This window comes from Homo sapiens, chromosome 17 (genome assembly GCF_000001405.40).
Source record: "Homo sapiens chromosome 17, GRCh38.p14 Primary Assembly".
Classification (NCBI taxonomy): domain Eukaryota; kingdom Metazoa; phylum Chordata; class Mammalia; order Primates; family Hominidae; genus Homo; species Homo sapiens.
The window spans coordinates 1,006,341-1,025,795 of record NC_000017.11 but is presented as its reverse complement, the minus strand read 5'-3'; the positions used below and the strand labels follow the sequence as shown (position 1 = coordinate 1,025,795).

The 19,455-nt window shown below is 58.3% G+C and overlaps 1 protein-coding gene, 1 long non-coding RNA gene and 1 other non-coding gene across 9 annotated transcripts in view; 2 read left to right on the top strand and 1 right to left on the bottom strand.

The window, feature by feature from the left end:
- ABR (ABR activator of RhoGEF and GTPase) overlaps positions 1-19,455 on the top strand; it is a 226,204-nt gene that overhangs the window by 203,927 nt on the left and 2,822 nt on the right. For all 7 annotated transcript variants that reach the window (NM_001322841.2, NM_001159746.3, NM_021962.5 and 4 more), the window contains 6 exons: positions 12,632-12,691; positions 12,999-13,108; positions 13,811-13,950; positions 14,933-15,067; positions 16,012-16,117; positions 18,484-18,631. In NM_001322841.2, the coding sequence (NP_001309770.1) occupies positions 12,632-12,691; positions 12,999-13,108; positions 13,811-13,950; positions 14,933-15,067; positions 16,012-16,117; positions 18,484-18,631 (699 nt within the window). The remainder of the gene's footprint in view (positions 1-12,631; positions 12,692-12,998; positions 13,109-13,810; positions 13,951-14,932; positions 15,068-16,011; positions 16,118-18,483; positions 18,632-19,455) is intronic.
- On the top strand, positions 3,237-3,320 carry MIR3183 (microRNA 3183). The gene has a single exon (NR_036148.1). It is a non-coding gene; the product is annotated as a microRNA 3183 (primary transcript).
- Positions 11,715-12,999, bottom strand: LOC105371481 (uncharacterized). The gene is made up of 2 exons (XR_934143.3): positions 12,523-12,999; positions 11,715-12,263 (listed from the first exon to the last, which is right to left on the bottom strand). It is a non-coding gene; the product is annotated as an uncharacterized LOC105371481 (long non-coding RNA).

Here is a 19,455-nt window from a genome sequence, read left to right as displayed (position 1 = left end):
CAACAAATGAGATCCTTGCCGGTCAGATGAGTGCTGTGAAAAAAATAAACACAACTGGGTAACGCAGTAGAGAGTGACGGGGGGATGCCTGGCTTGAGAGGATCACTTTTGAACGAAGATTTAAATGACAAGAAGAATTCAGCCATAAAAAACCTGGGGGCAGTGCATTCCAGGCCAAAGAACCGGCAAGGTCCACACCCCGAGGCAGGTGTGCTCAGAGGCAGAGGGGGACAGTGTGGGGCGTTACGTGGGGTCAGGGGACGGCGGCCAGGCGACGTGGGGCCCTGCGGTTCAGGACAGGGCCTTTAATCCGAATGCAGTGGGAAGCCGCGGGGTGTTCAAGCACAGTTCTGTGACGATATGTTTTGAACACGTACTGTACGAGGCATCATTCTTAGCCTGTGACGCAACTGAGGTGACACTTACAAGGTGCTGTTATTCACACTGTTTATTTATTTATTTGTTTGGGTTCTTTTGTTTTTGTTTGCTGTTGTTGTTTTGAGACAGAGTCTTGCTGTGTCGCCCAGGCTGGAGTGCAATGGCGCGATCTCGGCTCGCTGCAGCCTCCGCCTCCCGGGTTCAAGCGATTCTCCTGCCTCAGCCTCCTGAGTAGCTGGGATTACAGGTGCCCGCCACCACGCCCGGCCAAGTTTTGTATTTTTTTTTTTTTTTTTTTGAGACGGAGTCTCGCTGTCGCCCAGGCTGGAGTGCAGTGGCGCAATCTTGGCTCACTGCAGGCTCCGCCCCCTGGGGTTCACGCCATTCTCCTGCCTCAGCCTCCCGAGTAGCTGGGACTACAGGCGCCCGCCACCTCGCCCAGCTAATTTTTTGTATTTTTAGTAGAGACGGGGTTTCACCGTGTTAGCCAGGCTGGTCTTGAACTCCTGACCTCAGGTGATCCACCCGCCTCAGCTTCCCAAAGTGCTGAGATTACAGGCGTGAGTCACTGCGCCAGGCCTAAATGTGTTTTGAATTTTGTTTTACATTTTTAATTTTTTTTTTTTTTTTTTTTGTGGGAGTCTCACTCTCTCGCCCAGGCTGGAGTGCAGTGGCACCATCTCGGCTCACTGCAGCCTCCATCTCCCAGGCTCAAGCAATCCTCCCACCTCAGCCTCCCAAGTAGCTGGGTCTACAGGCATGTACCAACATGCCTGGCTAATTTTTGTATTTTTTGTAAAGACGAGGTTTCGTTATGTTGCGCAGGCTGATGTTGAACTTCTGGCTTCAGTGGATCCACCTGCCTCCGCCTCCCACAGTGCTGGATTACAGGCGGGAGCCCCCGTGCCTGGCCCAGACTGTTTTTATATATGAGGAATGAGGCTCAGAGAGTGACTCAGATGAAGTCACGTGAGTGGCTTAGCCGAGGGGCGACGTTCAGACCCCGGCCACTCAGCCTCAGCGCAGGCTCTCACCCGCGGTGTCCTGCCTTCCGTGGCCGGTTGGGGTTGGGCTGCGTGCCCCAGATGGGAGCGTCTGGAGACGCCGGGCTCCTGCCCGTCAGGCATCAGTGTGGTGCCCGTCCTGGCACGCTGTGCATAGCAACAGGCAAGACGGTTCTTCTCGACGACGCCACTGAACGTGAGACTCGGAGCAAGGCAAGGCCTGGGAGGGGCCGCTCAGAGCTGACCTGGGCCCTGGAATTGCTGGAGCCCCTCACGTCCCCGGCAGCAAGCTCCATGCCCAGAAAGTGTTCTGGGCCCGGGCAGGGAGGGTGAAGCTGGTATCAGAGAAGGCTGTTGATGCTGCTTTTTTTTTTTTTTTTTTTTTTTTTGAGATGGAGTCTCGCTCTGTCGCCCAGGCTGGAGTACAATGGCACAATCTCGGCTCACCGCAACCTCCGCCTCCTGGGTTCAAGCGGTTCTCCTGCCTCAGCCCCCTGAGTAGCTGGGTTTACAGGCATGTGCCACCACGCCGGGGTAATTTTTGTATTTTTAGTAGAGACAGGGTTTCTCCATGTTGGCCAGGCTGGTCTCGAACTCCTGACCTCAGGTGATCCTCCCACCTAGGCCTCCCACAGTGCTGGGATTACAGGTGTGAACCACCGCGCCCAGCCCTGTTAATGTTTCTTAACCACTCCAGGTCCAGCTCGAGGCTTCAGAGCCCATGGAGGTCTGACAGGTCCTTGGCCTTCCCGTGGCCTCCAGCGTGAAGCTTCCTGGTCAGGACCACAGAAGGCCTCTCATCTTGGACTTTGACCTCTGAGGGCGCCCCTTTCCTTTCAGGACAGGGCCTCCGTGTTGCTTTGGCCCTGGCCTGTTCCTTTTCTCAAGAGGGCCCCACTGCCCCTGCCCTTGCCACTCTGGCATCCTCGACCTGCCCTGGGCTGGGGCAGGGCCGGCTTCCTGGCTGGTATTTGTAGCCCAGTTCTGAGCTGAAGCTGAAGCCTCCAGGCTGCCTGCACAGGGAGGCAGTGGTGGGGTGGGCTGGCCCTGAGGAAGACGGAGCCCTAGGCCGCTGGGGGAGATGTGCCTGGCTGTGGGGCCTCCAAGAGCAGCCCAGGTTTGGATTTTGTCTGCTTCTCCTCAAGGTCAGCCATGCCCAGCCCGGGGGCTAAAAGCAAAGTGGGTGCCAGGGCAGGCAGAGGCTCTGGAGTGGACGTGGGGCCGGCAGAGGCGCTGGAGTGGACGTGGGGCCGGCAGAGGCGCTGGAGTGGACGTGGGGCCGGCAGAGGCGCTGTAGTGGACGTGGGGCCGGCAGAGGCTCTGCAGTGGACGTGGGGCCGGCAGAGGCGCTGGAGCGGACGTGGGGCAGGCAGAGGCTCTGCAGTGGACGTGGGGCCGGCAGAGGCTCTGGAGCGGACGTGGGGCAGGCAGAGGTGCTAGAATGGACGCTGGGGAAGGCAGGTTGCTGCGGGTGCTAAGAGGCTAGCCTGCCTTGGACAAAAGCGTCGTTCAGAGCTGCTAATCCCCTTCCTCCCATGAGGCTTGGGGAACTTCGAAGTTCTCTGGTGTTGGAGGGGAAGCCAGCCGAGGCCCTGGGACACGGCATCAGCCCGAGCCTATCTGTGGCTGGCCTGGGTATGGCAGGTGGGCACACCTTGGCTGCAGGACACCTTGGCTACAAGGGAGCCTGGCTGACCCTGCAGGGTGAGGGCTGGAGAGGCGGAGCCTGCCTGGCCTAGCAGTGTGGATGCCAAGCCATGGGAAGATGTGTGGAGAGTTTATGGAGCCTGGCCCGGTGTCCCCAACCCAGCTGCTGAGCTGGAAGCCAGGGGTAGGTCCTGGCAGCCCCTCCCTCTCTGCCCTGCCTCTCTCGGAGTCGCTCGGAGCAGTCACGTTGACGGAATCCTCCGGCGCCTCCTCGAGGGAGGAGAGGCAGGGTCTTGGCAACTCCCGTCTCCCCCGTTGCCAGCTTGCCAGCCCCGCCGTGCCTCTCACGCCTGTGGTCTGCCCCAATGACAGGCCGGCTTCGGTGTCCCAAGGGGACCCAGCCCTGAGCGTGGGGCTGCCCTTGGGGGAGGGCAGGGGAAAGCCAGCCCGGGCTGCCACCGTGGCCGCTGGCCTGGGAGCCCCAGGAAACGTGCCCACCCTCAGACCCGATGCCTGGCTCAGGGCCTGGGCTCCGCGGCCCCTCCAGGGCAGGCGTGAAATGTGCCCACACAGCTCCACCTTCCACGTGGTTCCCTGTCCGGGGGCCACTTGCACTGAGGTCCTTCTGGAGTCATTTTCTGTTTTTTTTTTTTTTTTTTTGAGACAGAGTCTTGCTCTGTTGCCCAGGCTGGAGTGCAGTGGTGCTATCTTGGCTCACTGCAACCCCTGCCTCCCGGGTTCAAGTGATTTCCGGCTAATTTTGTATTTTTAGTAGAGATGGGGTTTCGTCAGGTTGGCCAGGCTGGTCTCGAACTCCTGAGCTCGAGTGATCCGCCCGCCTCTGCCTCCCAGAGTGCTGGGATTACAGGCATGAGCCACCGCGCCCGGCTGGGAGTCATTTTCTAGCGTTCCTGTCCCACCTCTCAGGAACAGATTTACCACCTTTGTTGTGAAGAAGCATTTTTTTTTTTTTTCTGCCGCCAGGCTGGAGTGCAGTGGCACAATCTCAACTCCGGCTCACTGCAACCTCCGCCTCCCGGGTTCAAGCGATTCTCCTGCCTCAGCCTCCCCAGTAGCTGGGATTACAGGCACCCGCCACCACGCCTGGCTAATTTTTGTATTTTTAGTAGAGACGGGGTTTCGCCACGTTGGTCAGGTTGGTCTCGATCTCCTGACCTTGTGATCCGCCCGCCTCGGCCTCCCAAAGTGCTGGGATGACAGGCGTGAGCCACCGCACCTGGCTGAAGAAGCACTTTTTTTTATGAACCTCTGCAACCCCCTCTGAGGGAAACCCTCCCGCATTCTGGGATGCCGGGGCTCAGAGGGTGGAGGGTAGAAGAGCGCCAGCCGTGAGAGGCAGGATGGGGCGGCCCCCGAGGGCAGGGCTGTGCCTGGAGGCAGGGCTCCTCGGGGGGTCAGCTCCTGGGCGGTGGGAGTGACCGAGTGGGCTCCTGAGGGAAGCGGCTTTCAGGAAGGAGGCGGAGGCCTGGGAGCTCTTGGGGCCCTGGCAAATGTGGTCTTCAGATTCCCGTCGTCCAGTGAGCCCCTGGATCACGTCCTGAGTGGCGTCCACTGAAGGCTGCTTGGGACCTCTGCTCCCCCCTCCACTGAGACCCCCAGTGGCCAGTTCTAAGTCCCACCTGCCTTGGGCAGGGCCACCACAGGCCCCTTACTGTGGATTAAAGGGCCCTGGGTGAGGGCTTGTGGGAGGGGAGGTGGTGGAAACCATCTCCGAAGACCTTGGGGCGAGCTGCGTGCTGGAGTGGAGAGTGTGGCCCAGCAGGCAGGAGCACTGGGTTGGAATGGGGGCTCTGCCACCTCCGAGGGAGCAGGAGTGGAGACCGGAGGGAGCGTGCCCCTGAATCCGAGCACGGGGAGCTGGCCGGGAGCAGCCCTCCGGGCAGAGGCAGGAGAAATGGGGTCACCTGCCCCAGGGGGTGAGAGGTGAGCCGAGAGGAAGGGCTGAGACCCTCAGGGGCATCCCCAGGATGTTCCTGAAACTCAGCCCTGGAGGACGCTCAGGTGTGCGTGGAGCACCCTCTGCCCTGGAGCCTCAAATCCTCTCCCCGCTGCGGGGCCACTTTGCTGATTCCTGCCCCAAACATGAGGTCACTTCGGTCCAGAAAGGCGAGGCGACCTCCACCAGCCACCTACGGGATTCTTGGCAGAGAATCCACGCTCACCTTCGGGTCTTCACTCCTGCTCCCTCGGAGGTGACGGAGCCCCATTTCAACCCGGTGCCCCTGCCTGCTGGGTTTTCGCCGCAGGGGACCTGGTCGTCTCCTGGACATGAGCCCCCAGCGCCAGCGTTTCTCTTTGGGAGAGGCCTGAATGCGCAGTCATGATTTGACCAGGCGAAGTGCCCAGACAAAGAGAAAACAGTCGGCCGGATGCAGGGGCTCACGCCTGGAATCCCAGCACTTTGGGAGGCCGAGGCGGGTGGATCACCTGAGGTCAGGAGTTGGAGACCAGCCTGGCCAACACGGTGAAACCCCGTCTCTACTAAAAATACAAAAATTAGCCGGGCGTGGTGGCTCGTGCCTGTAGCCCCAGCTACTCGGGAGGCTGAGGCAGGAGAATCGCTCGAACCCGAAGGTGGAGGTTGCAGTGAGCTGAGATCGCGCCACTGCACTCCAGCCTGGGCGACAGAGTGCGACTCCGTCTCAAAAAAAAAAAAGAAGGAAATAGTTGAGCTGCTCTCAGTGACCATGTACGGCCCAGTCGTCGACCCCTGGCCCAGTCGTTCGTCCGCCTTTTGGCTCCACGATGTTTTGCAGCCTGTTTCTGTCTCCTGCCTGTGGCCCACCTTGGGGAGGCCCCAGTGCTCGTGTGCCCCTGGTGGTCTTCCCAGCCTGACCCTTCACGAGCTCCCTCTGTCTCCCTGCTTCAGGTGATCAGACATCCCCCAAGTACCTGCTCCCCTGGGCCCATGGAAGGCACCTGTCTGCTGGGACCAGAGGGTGAGCAGTCAGGTGTCCCATCCACCAACGTCCCAGGGGCCAGCCCCTCCACCCCGGTGCTAATCTCATCAGGAAATAGCACAGTCCACATTTCCCAGGAGTTATAAATAGCCAGCGCAGTTGCGGGCAGCAGCGTTTCTCTGGAAAATGTACGCTGTGCCTCTCCCTCCCTCCTCTGTGTTTAAATGATATCCTGAAATAGACTTGGTTTCTGGAGGCTGATAGCCTCCTGGGAAACAGAGCGTCGTTGTCAGGGCACCGTGGGGCCAGGCAGGCCTCTCTGAGCGGATACCAGGGCCACACCTGCAGCAGGCACCAGGGCCACACCTGCAGCAGATACCAGGGCCACACCTGCAGCAGGCACCAGGAAGATGTCAGGGCTTGAGGGGCTTACAGCTTAGGAAAGTGCCCCTGGCCCAGGCCTGGCCTCAGAAGGGGCTGGAGTGTGTGAGACAGCAGCAAGTGTCGCCTGGGAGGCTGCAGAGGGTAGATCTTAGTGGAGCAGGAAGGCAGAGAGGACCCAAAGTTTCCCACTGTGACCTGGGGCTCTCCGAGAAGGCTCTCTGGAGGAGGCGGGGCGAGAACTGGGCCTTAGCATCAGGAGGTGCAGTCCTGGGTCAGATGTGCCCAGGTTGAACCTGGCAGCTGGAGCGGAAGTGATGGGCACGAGGCAGCGGGAGGGCTGTACTGGGGGTGGCCTCCCAGCACCAGGTCTGCCCACCGGGTCGGGACACACACCAGGAGGCCCGATGTTGCCTTTCTGAGGAAGCAGCAGTTACAGCAGCTGCGGGTCATGGACTTCACACATTCTGCAGTTTCAGCAGAGAGGGTGCTGGGGGCCTTGATTTTGAACCCCAGCTCTGACTTCCTAGGTGTGCACTGGGTAAATTCCTCACTCTCGTTAAGCTGCAGCATCCTCATCTGTGAGATGGGAGCGGCTATGAGAGCTTAAACCGCATATGTCTGCTATCATGATCATGAACGCAGATGCTGTGTGTAGAGGATTCATCAGTGTCAGACTTGCAGGAAGAGCTCGAGATAAGTCCGTTGCTCTCACTCTTCCATAACAGCCCTGTGAGTCAGGTGTGGATGCCTCCATGAGGAAATTGAAGTTCACGGAGGTGAAAGGCCTTGCCCGAGTGCGCACGGTTGAATGGGAGACTCAGATCAGCCTGCCTCCAAATCCTGCACACTCCCCCCGACCAGGTTGTGTCCAGGTCCCCCTGAGACTTGGGAAGGGACCATTGGCTCAGCTTCCTGCAGAAGCTGCCAGGAGGCACCCAGTCGTGGGAAGCTGGGGCGGAGGAGGGGCTGTGGGTGAATCGGACCAGGGGCCATGGAATTGGCCTGAGGCTTATGCTGATGTGTGGAGAGACCTGCCTCAAGAAGGGGTGGTCTCAAAACATCGAACTGCGCCCCATAAATACATACAACTGCAATGTGTCAATTAAAAAATAAGGGCCCGGGCCAGGCGTGGTGGCTCACGCCCGTAATCCCAGCACTTTGGGAGGCCGAGGTGGGCGAATCACGAGGTCAGGAGATCAAGACCATCCTGGCTAACACGGTGAAACCCCGTCTCTACTAAAAATACAAAAAATTAGCCGGGGGTGGTGGCGGGCGCCTGTAGTCCCAGCTACTCAGGAGGCTGAGGCAGGAGAATGGCGTGAACCCGGGAGGCGGAGCTTGCAGTGAGCCAGGATCGCGCCACAGCACTCCAGCCTGGGCGACAGAGCAAGACTCCGTCTCAAAAATAAATAAATAAATAAAAAATAAGGGCCCACACAGTGGTACATGCCTGTAATGCCAGCTCTTCAGGAGGCTGAGGCAGGAGGATCACTGAAGCCCAGGGCAACATAGCAGCCTGGACGGCACAGTGAGACCCTGTCTCTAGAAAAATAAATACAGGCCGAGTGCGGTGGCTCACGCCTGTCATCCCAGCACTTTGGGAGGCCAAGGTGGGCGGACCACCTGAGGTCTGGAGTTCAAGACCAGCCTGGGCAACATGGTGAAACCCCATCTCTACTAAAAATAAAAAAATTGGCCAGGCATGGTGGCTCACACTTGTAATCCCAGCACTTTGGGAGGCCAAGGTGGGTGGGTCATTTGAGGTCAGGAGTTCGAGACCAGCCTGGCCAACATGGTGAAACCCTGTCTCTACTAAAAATACAAAAATTAGCCGGGTGTGATGGTGCGCACCTGTAGTCCCAGCTAATTGGGAGGCTGAGGCAGAAGAATCGGTTGAACCTGGGAGACGGGTTGCAGTCAGCCGAGATCACACCACTGCACTCCAGCCTGGGCAACAAGAGTGAAACTCTGTCTCAAAAAAAAAAAAAAAAAAAAAAGAGGGCATGGCCGCTCCAGAATGTTTCTTCCAAGGGTAGCATCTCAGTTGACAAAGAGCATTTGATTCCTCCACCCTGTGTGGCTACTGCTGGGGGACAGAGCTGGGGACAGACCCAGGCCCGGCTCCGTGTCCAGACGAGATGAAGGAACTACGAGGGACAGCCTGTGTGATCCAGGAGGGTTTGCAAAGAACAGAAGCAGCTTAGAGGGGAGAGAGGTTTCGGGAAAGTAAGGCCAGAGCTGGGGCTTCCTTTGAGACCCTGTAGGACCCCTGCCTCCAGCCGGGCTGGTGATGGCCTCACGCTTCCCGTGTGTGAAGAGGTGCCCGGAGCAGTGGTTCTCCCTGAGGGGCACTTGGTTCTCTGCACACACCCAACTTCTGTCTCCTGTTCTGGGTTCCATCCCTTCTCTGGGCAGGGCGAACCCAGTGCAGACCCAGACCCCGTCGGAGGCTTGGGTACCACCTGCCCCCAGCCGGTGTGTGGGTGATAGATGTGGGAAGGACCTACATCGAGCTGCAGGAAGCCCAAGGCTGACCCAGATCCAGTTTCCCTTCCGTGATGACAGTGGCCTGTTATAGCAACTGCGTTCAAACCGTGGCACGCACACCTCAGAGTGCACAGAGACGTTCTGAGGGCGACGTGGGCAGGAGAGTTTTCAGGAAATCAGTTTGCAGATTCTCAGCTGCCATAGGTGCTATTGCCAGAAAGCCATCTGCCTGAGAGCCAGCATCTCGCCATCCTGTCCTCTGCAGAGGAGAGGCCTGAGGCTGGCTGTCGGGGCTTGGCCCGGGGTGCGCAGACCTCCTGGGTGGGGAACAGAGGGGCTTTTAGAAATGTTGGGGTAGGGGCCAGGCATGGTGGGTCACACCTGTAATCCCAGCACTTTGGGAGGCCGAGGCAGGTGGATCGCCTGAGGTCAGGAGCTCGAGACCAGCCTGGCCAACATGGTGAAACCCCATCTCCACTACAAATAAAAAATTAGCTGGGCGTGGTGGCAGGCACCTGTAATCCCAGCTACTCGGGAGGCTGAGGCAGGAGAATCACTTGAACCCGGGAGGTGGAGCTTGCAGTGAGCCGAGACTGCACCACTGCACTCCAGCCTGGGCGACAGAGCGAGACTCCGTCTCAAAAAAAAAAAAAAAAAGAAACGTTGGGGTCAGTGTTCAGAAAGTAAAAGACTCTAGTGGCCACTTAGAACCTTTCAAAAGTCAGGTGGTATCCAGTTCTTTGCCTTCCACAAAACTGATGGAGGACTCAATTTTCAACTGAGAGATCATTTCAAGTAATTTTCAGTAATAGGTATATATGCGATTTAAGGCGGATAGCATGGAGAGAGGTTAAAGAATGGTGTAACGCGGCTGTGATAAAACTCTTTTCGACCTCATCTACTTCTTTATGTGAACAAAATGTTTCATTGTTCACATATTTCTTGTTCATTTTAGAGACATGGTCCTACATTGCCCAGGCTGGTCTCGAACTCCTGGGCTCAAGTGGTCCTGTGGCTGGGAGCCACAGCACCTGCACATCTTTACAACAAAACCAGAAACATGAACCAAATTGATGCTGAGCCTCGTTTCACTCTAGCAAAAAATAATACCCTATAGATACGCGAACTAAAGCAAAAAATGTTCCGCCCATCTCATTGAGAGAGCATTCCACCAAAAAGTTACTCTGCTACTTAATATTTATTAAAATGTATAATGAGGCCAGGCGCGGTGGCTCACGCCTGTAATCCCAGCACTTTGGGAGACCGAGGCGGGTGGATCACCTGAGGTCGGGAGTTCGAGATCAGCCTGACCAACATGGAGAAACCCCATCTCTACTAAAAATACAAAAAATTAGCCGGGTGTGGTTGTGTGTGTCTGTAATTCCAGCTACTCGGGAGGCTGAGGCAGGAGAATCGCTTGAACCCAGGAGGCGGAGGTTGCTGTGAGCCAAGATCGCACCATTGCACTCCGGCCTGGACAATAAGAGCGAAACTCTGTCTCAAAAAAATAAATAAAATGTATATAATGTGTCGGCTTACTTTTTTTTTTTTTTTCTTGAGACAGGGTCTCACTCTGTCGCCAGGCTGGAGTGCAGTGGTGTGATCTTGGCTCAATGCAACCTCCACCTCCTGGGTTCAAGCGATTCTTCCATCTCAGCCTCCCAAGTAGTAGCTTGGACTACAGTGCCCGCCACCACACCCGGCTCACTTTTGTATTTTTAGTAGAGACAGGGTTTTGTCATGTTGGCCAGGCTGGTCTCGAATTCCTGACCTCAGGTGATCCACCAGCCTCAGCCTCCCAAAGTGCTGGGATTACAGGCGTGAGCCACCGTGCCTGGCTGTCTTTTTAATTATGTACTGCCAATCATGGTACTAACTAATCCTGAATATATTTTGAATATTTGGAGCCTTGTGGTCTCTGGAAATTTTTGTTTTCAATGTATACAGATTTTTTTTGTGGAAGCAAAATGTAATGGTGAATAAAGGACTTGAAAATATAAAAATATAAACTAGGACAACATTCTTTAGGAGAAATGGAATAGAAACAAATTCAAGGAGAGAAGATCCAGGAGCTCTGTGAGGGAAAGAAGAGCTTGTTTGTGTAGTTTTTTGTTGTTGTTGTTTTTTTTGAGACGGAGTCTCACTCTGTCGCCCAGGCTGGAGTGCAGTGGTGTGATCTCCGCTCACTGCAACCTCCACCTACTGGGTTCATGCCATTCTCCTGCCTCAGCCTCCCCAGCAGCTGGGACTACAGGCGCCCACCACCGCGCCCGGCTAATTTTTTGTATTTTTTTTTTTTTAGTAGAGACGGGGTTTCACCGTGTTAGCCAGGATGGTCTCGATCTCCTGACCTCGTGATCCGCCTCCCTCGGCCTCCCAAAGTGCTGGGATTACAGGCATGAGCCACCGTGCCTGGCCTGTTTTCTTAATATTGAATTTTGAGAGTTTTATATAATAAGCCCTGAAATTGGGTAATATTAGCCCTATAGCTGTGTTCTTTTTCAACATTGTTTAGATGTTTTTTCTTTTTTTTTGAGACGGAGTCTCGCTCTGTCGCCCAGGCTGGAGTGCAGTGGCGCGATCTCGGCTCACTGCAAGCTCTGCCTCCCGGGTTCACGCTATTCTCCTGCCTCAGCCTCCCAAGTAGCTGGGACTACAGGCGCCCGCCACCACGCCCGGCTAATTTTTTGTATTTTTAGTAGAGACGGGGTTTCACCGTGTTAGCCAGGATGGTCTCGATCTCCTGAGCTCGTGATCTGCCTGCCTTGGCCTCTCAAAGTGCTGGGATTACAGGCGTGAGCCGCCACGCCTGGCCTCGTGTAGTTTTTAAATGGATGAGTGTGGGTATCACGTCGCTGGGGTATTTAGATCCCACTGAATCCATGAGAAGGAATGATGTCACACTTTTATTTTAGGATGGCAATATTGACATGATTTTGGAAATCATACTCTTTGCAACTATTTAAACTTGGAAATGTTCAGATTTTGACTTCAGAAAGTGCCAGGGAGCGCACAGTTGCTCAGAATTAGTTCGCAGGTGCACAGGCAGACGGGCGCGAAGGCCCCCGAGTTACAGAAACAGAACGTGGAACAGTCCTGTGTGAGGGTTGCCTCTGACCTCCCCTGGGGTCCGCACCTCCCTGGGCTCCAGCCCGAGCCTGGGGACTTCCCCTGTGGAGGATTTGCTTATTTGGGAGCCAATGGCTTGACCCAAGTTTTCTCCCTGAATCTTCCCAGCAATCCCAGGGAGGCAGGTTCTGTTGCAGATGGAATAACTGAGGCTTAGTGAGTTTAAAACTTGCCAGGATTCAAACCCAGGCAGCCTCCTGTGCGCGGGCTCCTGACTCTTCAACACCTCCACGTGGATGGGCTGGTTCCCTCCTGATGGACTTGAGCGCCTCCTAATCAGGTGCTTACCTTTTGTGAGCCTCAGTTTCTGCATCTGTGAAATGGGGTAATAATACCCATGTCCCGGGCTGGCAGCCAGGAGTGCCTAACAGGGTGTGCCCTGCCTCCCCCACGGTGGGTAACAGAGTGTGCCCTGCCTCCCCCACGGCGGGTAACAGGGTGTGCCCTGCCTCCCCCACGGCGGGTAACAGGGTGTGCCCTGCCTCCCCCACGGCGGCCACAGGGGCCTGGGGGCTAGGGTCCCCCCAAAGGGTTGATTTCCAGGTAAACATCAGCTTATCCCAGCTGCTCACTTCCGCCTTCCTGACTGTGTAGCTGGCTCTGAGCAGTGCTGACCCACGGGGAGATCTCTGGCTTGGCCTCCGAGCTGGCACCTCTCTCACCCACATTCTCTCTCTGCAGCTGGACCCACAAACCGTGGAGACCAAGAACTGGCACACGGACGTGATTGAGATGAACGGGGTGAGCCGGGGATGGGAATGATCAGTGGCGTGAGCCGGGAGGTGGAACGTCTGTGCAGCAGGTGGGCAGCCCGGCCCTGTGGCTGCTCCTGGGGCCGCTGTGCCGCCTCGACCTCCCCGCAGCCCAGCCCCCTCTCCCCTCCTGCCCACACCCTGCCCGCTGCTGTCCTGCAGGTGTTGTGTTGAGGGAGACCTGGGTGTGAGCTAGCCCTCATTTGCAGTCTTGGGGAGGGGACCCCTGTGTTTTGGGGGCATTCCTCGGGCACTCACACCCTGGGGAATCTTTACCTGCCTCACCCCCCAACCAGATCAAAGTGGAATTTTCCATGAAATTCACCAGCCGAGATATGAGCCTGAAGAGGACCCCGTCCAAAAAGCAGACCGGCGTCTTCGGTGTGAAGATCAGCGTGGTGACGAAGTAGGTGCTGCCTCGGGTCTCCCAGTCCTGGCGTCGGTGCCCCGGGTCCCCCCCAGCCCGGGCCCCCCAGCCCTCCCCGCCGGTGCCCATCCTGGCACCTAATCAGTTACCCCCCGCTCGGCGGTGGCAGATGGCCGGTGTGGATCTAGAGTGGCCGCAGAGGCGCTCACAGGACACTTCAGAAGCACGCGAGCCAGCACCTAAACGCTGGAAGGTCTCTTGTGAGATCCCAGATCGTCTGCTCCTCGTAACAAGCGGGAAGCTCTGTCAGCCGGGGGCCTACGTTTGGGCTCGGCACCAACGGGGACTGGCGGCCCCTCGGGAAAGGGCACGTGTCCCCCGGTTCACCACCACCCTGGCCCCTTGTCTCAGGCCTGACCCACCTCCTCATGTGGGCTGCCTGCTGGGCCTCCTACAAGCATCTGAATCTGGGGGACGTTCTTTCCCTAGAGTCTCGGCCTTACCTTCCCAAGTTCCCAAGGCTTCTCCTGCCCACGTCCGTCGATGCCCCTTCGGCAGGCCTCGGGTGGGCTGGCTGGGGTGGGGTGCGGTGGCCTCTTTCTCTGCCCTGCCCCTGCCCCCGCCCCAGCTCTCCATCCCAAATGCTAGAAGCTCTCCAGGGTGTGTGTGTGCTGGGTGGGGGTTGCTACGGGAGAGCTGTCGTGGGGGCTGCCCTCCACCCATCCTCACGCTCCACCCCAGGCGGGAGCGCTCCAAGGTGCCCTACATCGTCCGGCAGTGTGTGGAGGAGGTGGAGAAGAGGGGTATCGAGGAGGTTGGCATCTACAGGATATCGGGCGTGGCCACGGACATCCAGGCGCTCAAGGCCGTCTTCGATGCCAGTGAGTCTGGGAGGCCCAGCCGGGGCAGGTGTGGCTGTGTCTGAGCAGGCTGGTGGGATGGACAGGAGAGCTCGGGGGAACCAGGAGCCTCCCTGGAGAGGAGGCTTGCTCTGCTTCAGAGTCCCCGTGGCAAGTGCTTTCTCTTGTAATCCCCTCCCCTCCAATCTCTTGTCCCTTGCTGCAGGTAAGCAACTGCAGAAACTCACAAGGGCCGACTCACTTGCCCAGGATGACCCAACTTGTAGGTTTTGGTTCTGGACTTAAAACTCAGATCTGACTCCAGTGTCTTTCTTGCTAGTTCCTGGGTGCCTGGTGAGCCGCAGGGAAAGAGCTTTGAGCCTGCACCTGCTGTCTCCAGGGCCCCAGGTCCCCTCTGGGGCAGTGCTGCCTCTGCGTGAAGCCCACCATGGTGAGGCCTGACCTTTCTGGTTTCTCCTCCCTGCTCCTGCTGGTTCAGGTGCAGCAGCCACATACCCCACTGTCAAGAAACCTGCACTGGCCAGGCAGGGATGAATCCGTGGGGAGCCTGGAGTGGAGGACGGGGTGGGGCCTGGGAACTGGCCGGCGTTGGTGCCTCTGTGCAGCCTAGAAGCTGAGGCTTTGTCGGAACATGCTTTTACGTGTGAAAAGTGTGCAATGCCTTCCAGAGAGGGGCTTAGCGATGGAGAGGTTCCAGTCGGAAGGAAGCTGCAGGCCACATGGTATGAATGTGGCTCTGAACTCTGGGTGATGGATTTCACTCCCCAAACACCCTTTCCCAAGCAGCCACAGCAGATGGCCCCCAGGCTATCTCTCCCTGTTCCCCCAACCCCGACCCACAGAGCCGAGTCACAGACACCTGTGGGCCCTCTCTACATCCTGCTCTTCCAGGGGAGACCAGAACCAGAGCTGGAGTGGGTGGGGGCTGTGTCAGGATGGGTCGGGGGTGGAACGGGGCTGCTGGCCCAGCTAAGGCTGCCTGACCTCGGCCCCACCCCTGCAGATAACAAGGACATCCTGCTGATGCTGAGTGACATGGACATCAACGCCATCGCCGGGACGCTCAAGCTGTACTTCCGGGAACTGCCCGAGCCGCTCCTCACGGACCGACTCTACCCAGCCTTCATGGAGGGCATCGGTGAGGCCCTGAGGGCTCCTAGGACTGGGCTGGGCCAGACTGAGCCAGGACTCCCTGCCCGGAGAAGTAACCAGCAGGAGAAATATCTGTGGCTTCCTTTGCTGGCTGACCTTCCCAGTGCACTGGGGCCTGTGGCTGAGGGGTCCGAGGGTGAGGTGTGGCCTGCTGGGACCTGGTGCAGACACTGGGCCCTTTCTCGCCTGCCTCTTGCCCCTGATGTCCCCATGGGCAGCCCCTTCTGCTTCCTATTTGGACGTTGGCCTCTTGCTTGGAAGCTCGAGCATCCAGGGAAGACTGCCCTGAGGTGAGTGGCCAGAAGCCAGCATCCCAGAACCAAGGAGGAGGCTGGCTTAAGCCATAGGGCACTCGAGATGGGTTGTGCTGAGCCTTCCAGCGGGACCACACACCGTCCCGTCACCTCTGCGGAGGGCCCCGGCCAGCAGGCCTTCCGCCTCCACCCACCTGGGCCAAACCCAGCCCCAAGGAATCCCTTCAGCCTTCTCTGCTCCTGGGGCAGACTGGAGCTTCAGCCCCCACGGAAGGCTGCTTGCACCCACGCTCCAGCAGCAGAAGGGGTGGAGAAAGAGAATCCACCGCTGGCAGGATATGTCCCTACTGGCTTAACCTTAGCCACACAGACCAGGGGGTGTCCTGTTACGAGACAGGGGATGCCCCAGCACCCAAGGCCTATGCAGTCAGCTGCAGGAAGGGGGTCTGCTCCCACCAGCCGGCCTCCTGGCTGAGTTACCAGTCGTGGTGGGGCCTCCTGGAGGAAGCAGCTGCTGACAGCCCACCCAGACACCAGGCCCTCCCCTGTGGGGTCTGCTCCCCAAAGGCCTGGAAGCCTGGGCTCTCTCCCGCAGGGGCCCACAGCCTCACGACCACAGGGGCCCTGGCGGGGAGCCCCAGGAGCCAAACGCCACACTGGCCCTTCTCTCCCACAGCCCTGTCAGACCCTGCTGCCAAGGAAAACTGCATGATGCACCTGCTCCGCTCCCTGCCCGACCCCAACCTCATCACCTTCCTCTTCCTGCTGGAACACTTGAAAAGGTAACGGGGAGCGGCCCCAACCCCACCTCCTCAGTCCCTCCTCATGAAAAGGTAACGGGGAGGGGCCCCAACCCCACCTCCTCAGTCCCTCCTCGTGAAAAGGTAACGGGGAGTGGCCCCAACCCCACCTCCTCAGTCCCTCCTCGTGGGCGCTGGCCTCCATCGGGCTGTCTGTGGGGAGTGAGAGTTTGCTTTCCAAGTTCTTGCACTCATGTTTTTCTGTTTTGAGAAATATTTGGGTCCCGTAACCAGTAGTAACCTCAAATATTGACCATAGAATGCTCAGAATGGCAGGGTGAGAGCCCAGGACTACAGGCAGGTTTTATAATCAGTGGGTCCCAACCTACTGGTGGTTCATTCAACGAATGTAGCCATTTCTAGATGCAGTGGGGGGTGGACAGCAGTGGGGGGTGGACAGCAGTGGGGGGTGGACAGCAGTGGGGAATGGACAGTAGTGGGGATGGACAGCAGTGGGGGAATGGACAGCAGTGGGGATGGACAGCAGTGGGGGACAGACAGCAGGAGGATACATTGTAAGCCTTGATGCAGGTGCTGCTTTTCAGTTACATAGAGACGTGTGGACTGTGTTACAGCATGGGTTGTATTGTGGGCCACAGTCAAAAAAGGTGAAACCCACTGGTCTTGGCCCACACCTCACTAGACATAGGGAAACTGAGTCCCCACACCAGGCGGAGACTTGCTTGGGTTAGTAGCAGACCTGTCCTTAGAGCCCTCAACTTCCAGATCCTAAATTCAGACCCTTCTTGCCTTCCCACCACCCTTTCTAGTCAGGTCCAACCAAGAGTGGCTAAAGTTGGTTGTACTTGTAGCAAAGTTCAGAGGTCCTCAGGCTTGCGTGGGGAGGTGGTCCCTGGGCGTCCCTTAAACCCACCTGCACGCCAGGACCGGGGAGCCCCCTCAGACTGCTCTGCGGAACAATTCTTCCCTGAGCTCAGCCCCAGCTCAGGGCCAGGCCCCCCGCTGCAGCTCAGCCACGCCAGGCTCGGGAGAGCCAGTGGAGACCTGGACGCGCCCGGGGCTGGTGTCTTGTTTTTCCCATCATGAAACATTTTTCCTCTGGTTTGGCCAGGACTAGAGCCCCAACCAATTCCGAAAGCATTTGGCAAGCCTTGTGGGGAGGAGTGGGAAGGGAAAATTCATTCGGCTTCCACCCTGGGAACTGGGCACAGTCTGTTCCCACATCTGGGCCCCTGGCTGGACCGTGTGCGCGCGTGTGGTGAGGGGCTGGCCCCGCTGCACAGCTGCCTGTTGGCATCACAGTGTTTGTTTGCCTGTTTCCAAAGCAGGCGCAGCCACAGCTCCTGCCTGGAGGGTGGGAATGATGGTATTGAGGGTGAGAGGCGCTGCTTAGGGTGGGTGGGTCTCAGCCCAGAAACATTTTTTGAGACTGAAGGAGAACCAGAGGCCCTCTGATATGTTTGCTGACCCTGGGCCTGCCTGGACACCAGCCCTGATGGCAGCTCCTGCTGTTACCCCAGGGAAGCATCGCAGAGCATCTGGCCTGTTGAGTAAGAGAAGCAGGAGAGGATCCAGAGGGAGGACAATCCTGGGTCCCACGAGGCAGACGGAGAGGCATAGGAGGCAGCCCTGGGTCCCATGAGGCAGACCCTTCCGGAGAGGCACAAGAGGAAGCCCTGGGTCCCACGAGGCCGACCTTTCCGGACAGGCACGGGGGGACAGTCCCCGGGCTCATCTGGAAGTAGGGCTGCTCCTGCCCCAGCACAGCTGGCAGAGCCCCGGGTCTAGCTAGTGACTCCTGCTGGGCTCCAGGCCCTGCCTGCCTTTCTCCCCTGCCCCACCCACCTTAACTCTTCTTTTGGGCCACTTAGCACATGAGAAAGCAACAGAGCGGTAGGTCCTGGAGGCAGCTACCGGGGTTCAAATCCCAGCTCTACCAGTTGCTGGCTGTGTGACCTTGGGCAAGTCACTTAACCCCTCTGTACTTCGGTTTCTTCATCTACACGATGGGGGTGACGATAATCATATTTACCTCAAAGGACTGCGGCGAGTGTGAGTTGTTCCAGGGAGTTTTCAGAACAGTATCTGCTCTCAGGCAAGGGAGCTGGAGTTGGCATCTGTGGGCTCCCTGGCTCTGGCAGTTCACCATCAGTTCAGGGGGACCCAGCAGCTGGAGATGTTAGCACAGAACACTGGCACATGGCTGGGGCCCTGCTCTCCTGGATGAGTCCCCTTCCCCCGGGGGAGGTCCCCACTCCTAGGAGACAGAGACGAGGTGACCCCTTCCAGGAGTCCTTCAGGAGTTCCCACAGCGAAGGCCAAGGGTCCTGGAGCTCCGAGTGGCTGCTGAGGAAGGGCTTCTTTCCTCCCCATCTTCTCCTTCTTAGGGTTGCCGAGAAGGAGCCCATCAACAAAATGTCACTTCACAACCTGGCTACCGTGTTTGGACCCACGTTACTGAGACCCTCAGAAGTGGAGAGCAAAGCACACCTCACCTCGGCTGCGGACATCTGGTCCCATGACGTCATGGCGCAGGTACCCTGGCACCGCCCGGGCCCGTGGCTGGCGGAGGGTGACGGTCCCATGACGTCATGGCGCAGGTACCCTGGCACCGCCCGGGCCCGTGGCTGGCGGAGGGTGACGGTCCCATGACGTCATGGCGCAGGTACCCTGGCACCGCCCGGGCCCGTGGCTGGCGGAGGGTGACGGTCCCATGACGTCATGGCGTAGGTACCCTGGCACCGCCCGGGCCCGTGGCTGGCGGAGGGTGACGGTCCCATGACGTCATGGCGCAGGTACCCTGGCACCGCCCGGGCCCGTGGCTGGCGGAGGGTGACGGTCCCATGACGTCATGGCGCAGGTACCCTGGCACCGCCCGGGCCCGTGGCTGGCGGAGGGTGACGGTCCCATGACGTCATGGCGCAGGTACCCTGGCACCGCCCGGGCCCGTGGCTGGCGGAGGGTGAGACCAGCCCCTTAGGAGGAGAGAGAACAGCTCAGAGTCCCCACACCTCTTCCCTCGTGGGAAGCTGGGTTGATGGGCTATGGGGTGTCACCAGGGAGGCAGGACTGTAGACACTTCTGCCCCTCCCAGGCCAAAACAAACATGTGAGCCTAGACCAGGGCCCAGAGATGCTGGCTGCATTCTCAGGAGGGCCTCAGTCTCAGAAAGCAAGCCCAGGGGTGGGGAGATGCTGGGCCCTTGTCCTCATGGGTGGAAGCTCTGAGGTTGCTTCCAAGGGCGGGAGGCTTCCCTGGGATTCCTGCAAGACCCAGAGCAGGGGCCGGACTGTGGCCGCCTCAGGACAGAGCAGAAGCTTATGGCCAGGTTGGGGAAGTGGCCCTAGGCCCCCGACCCT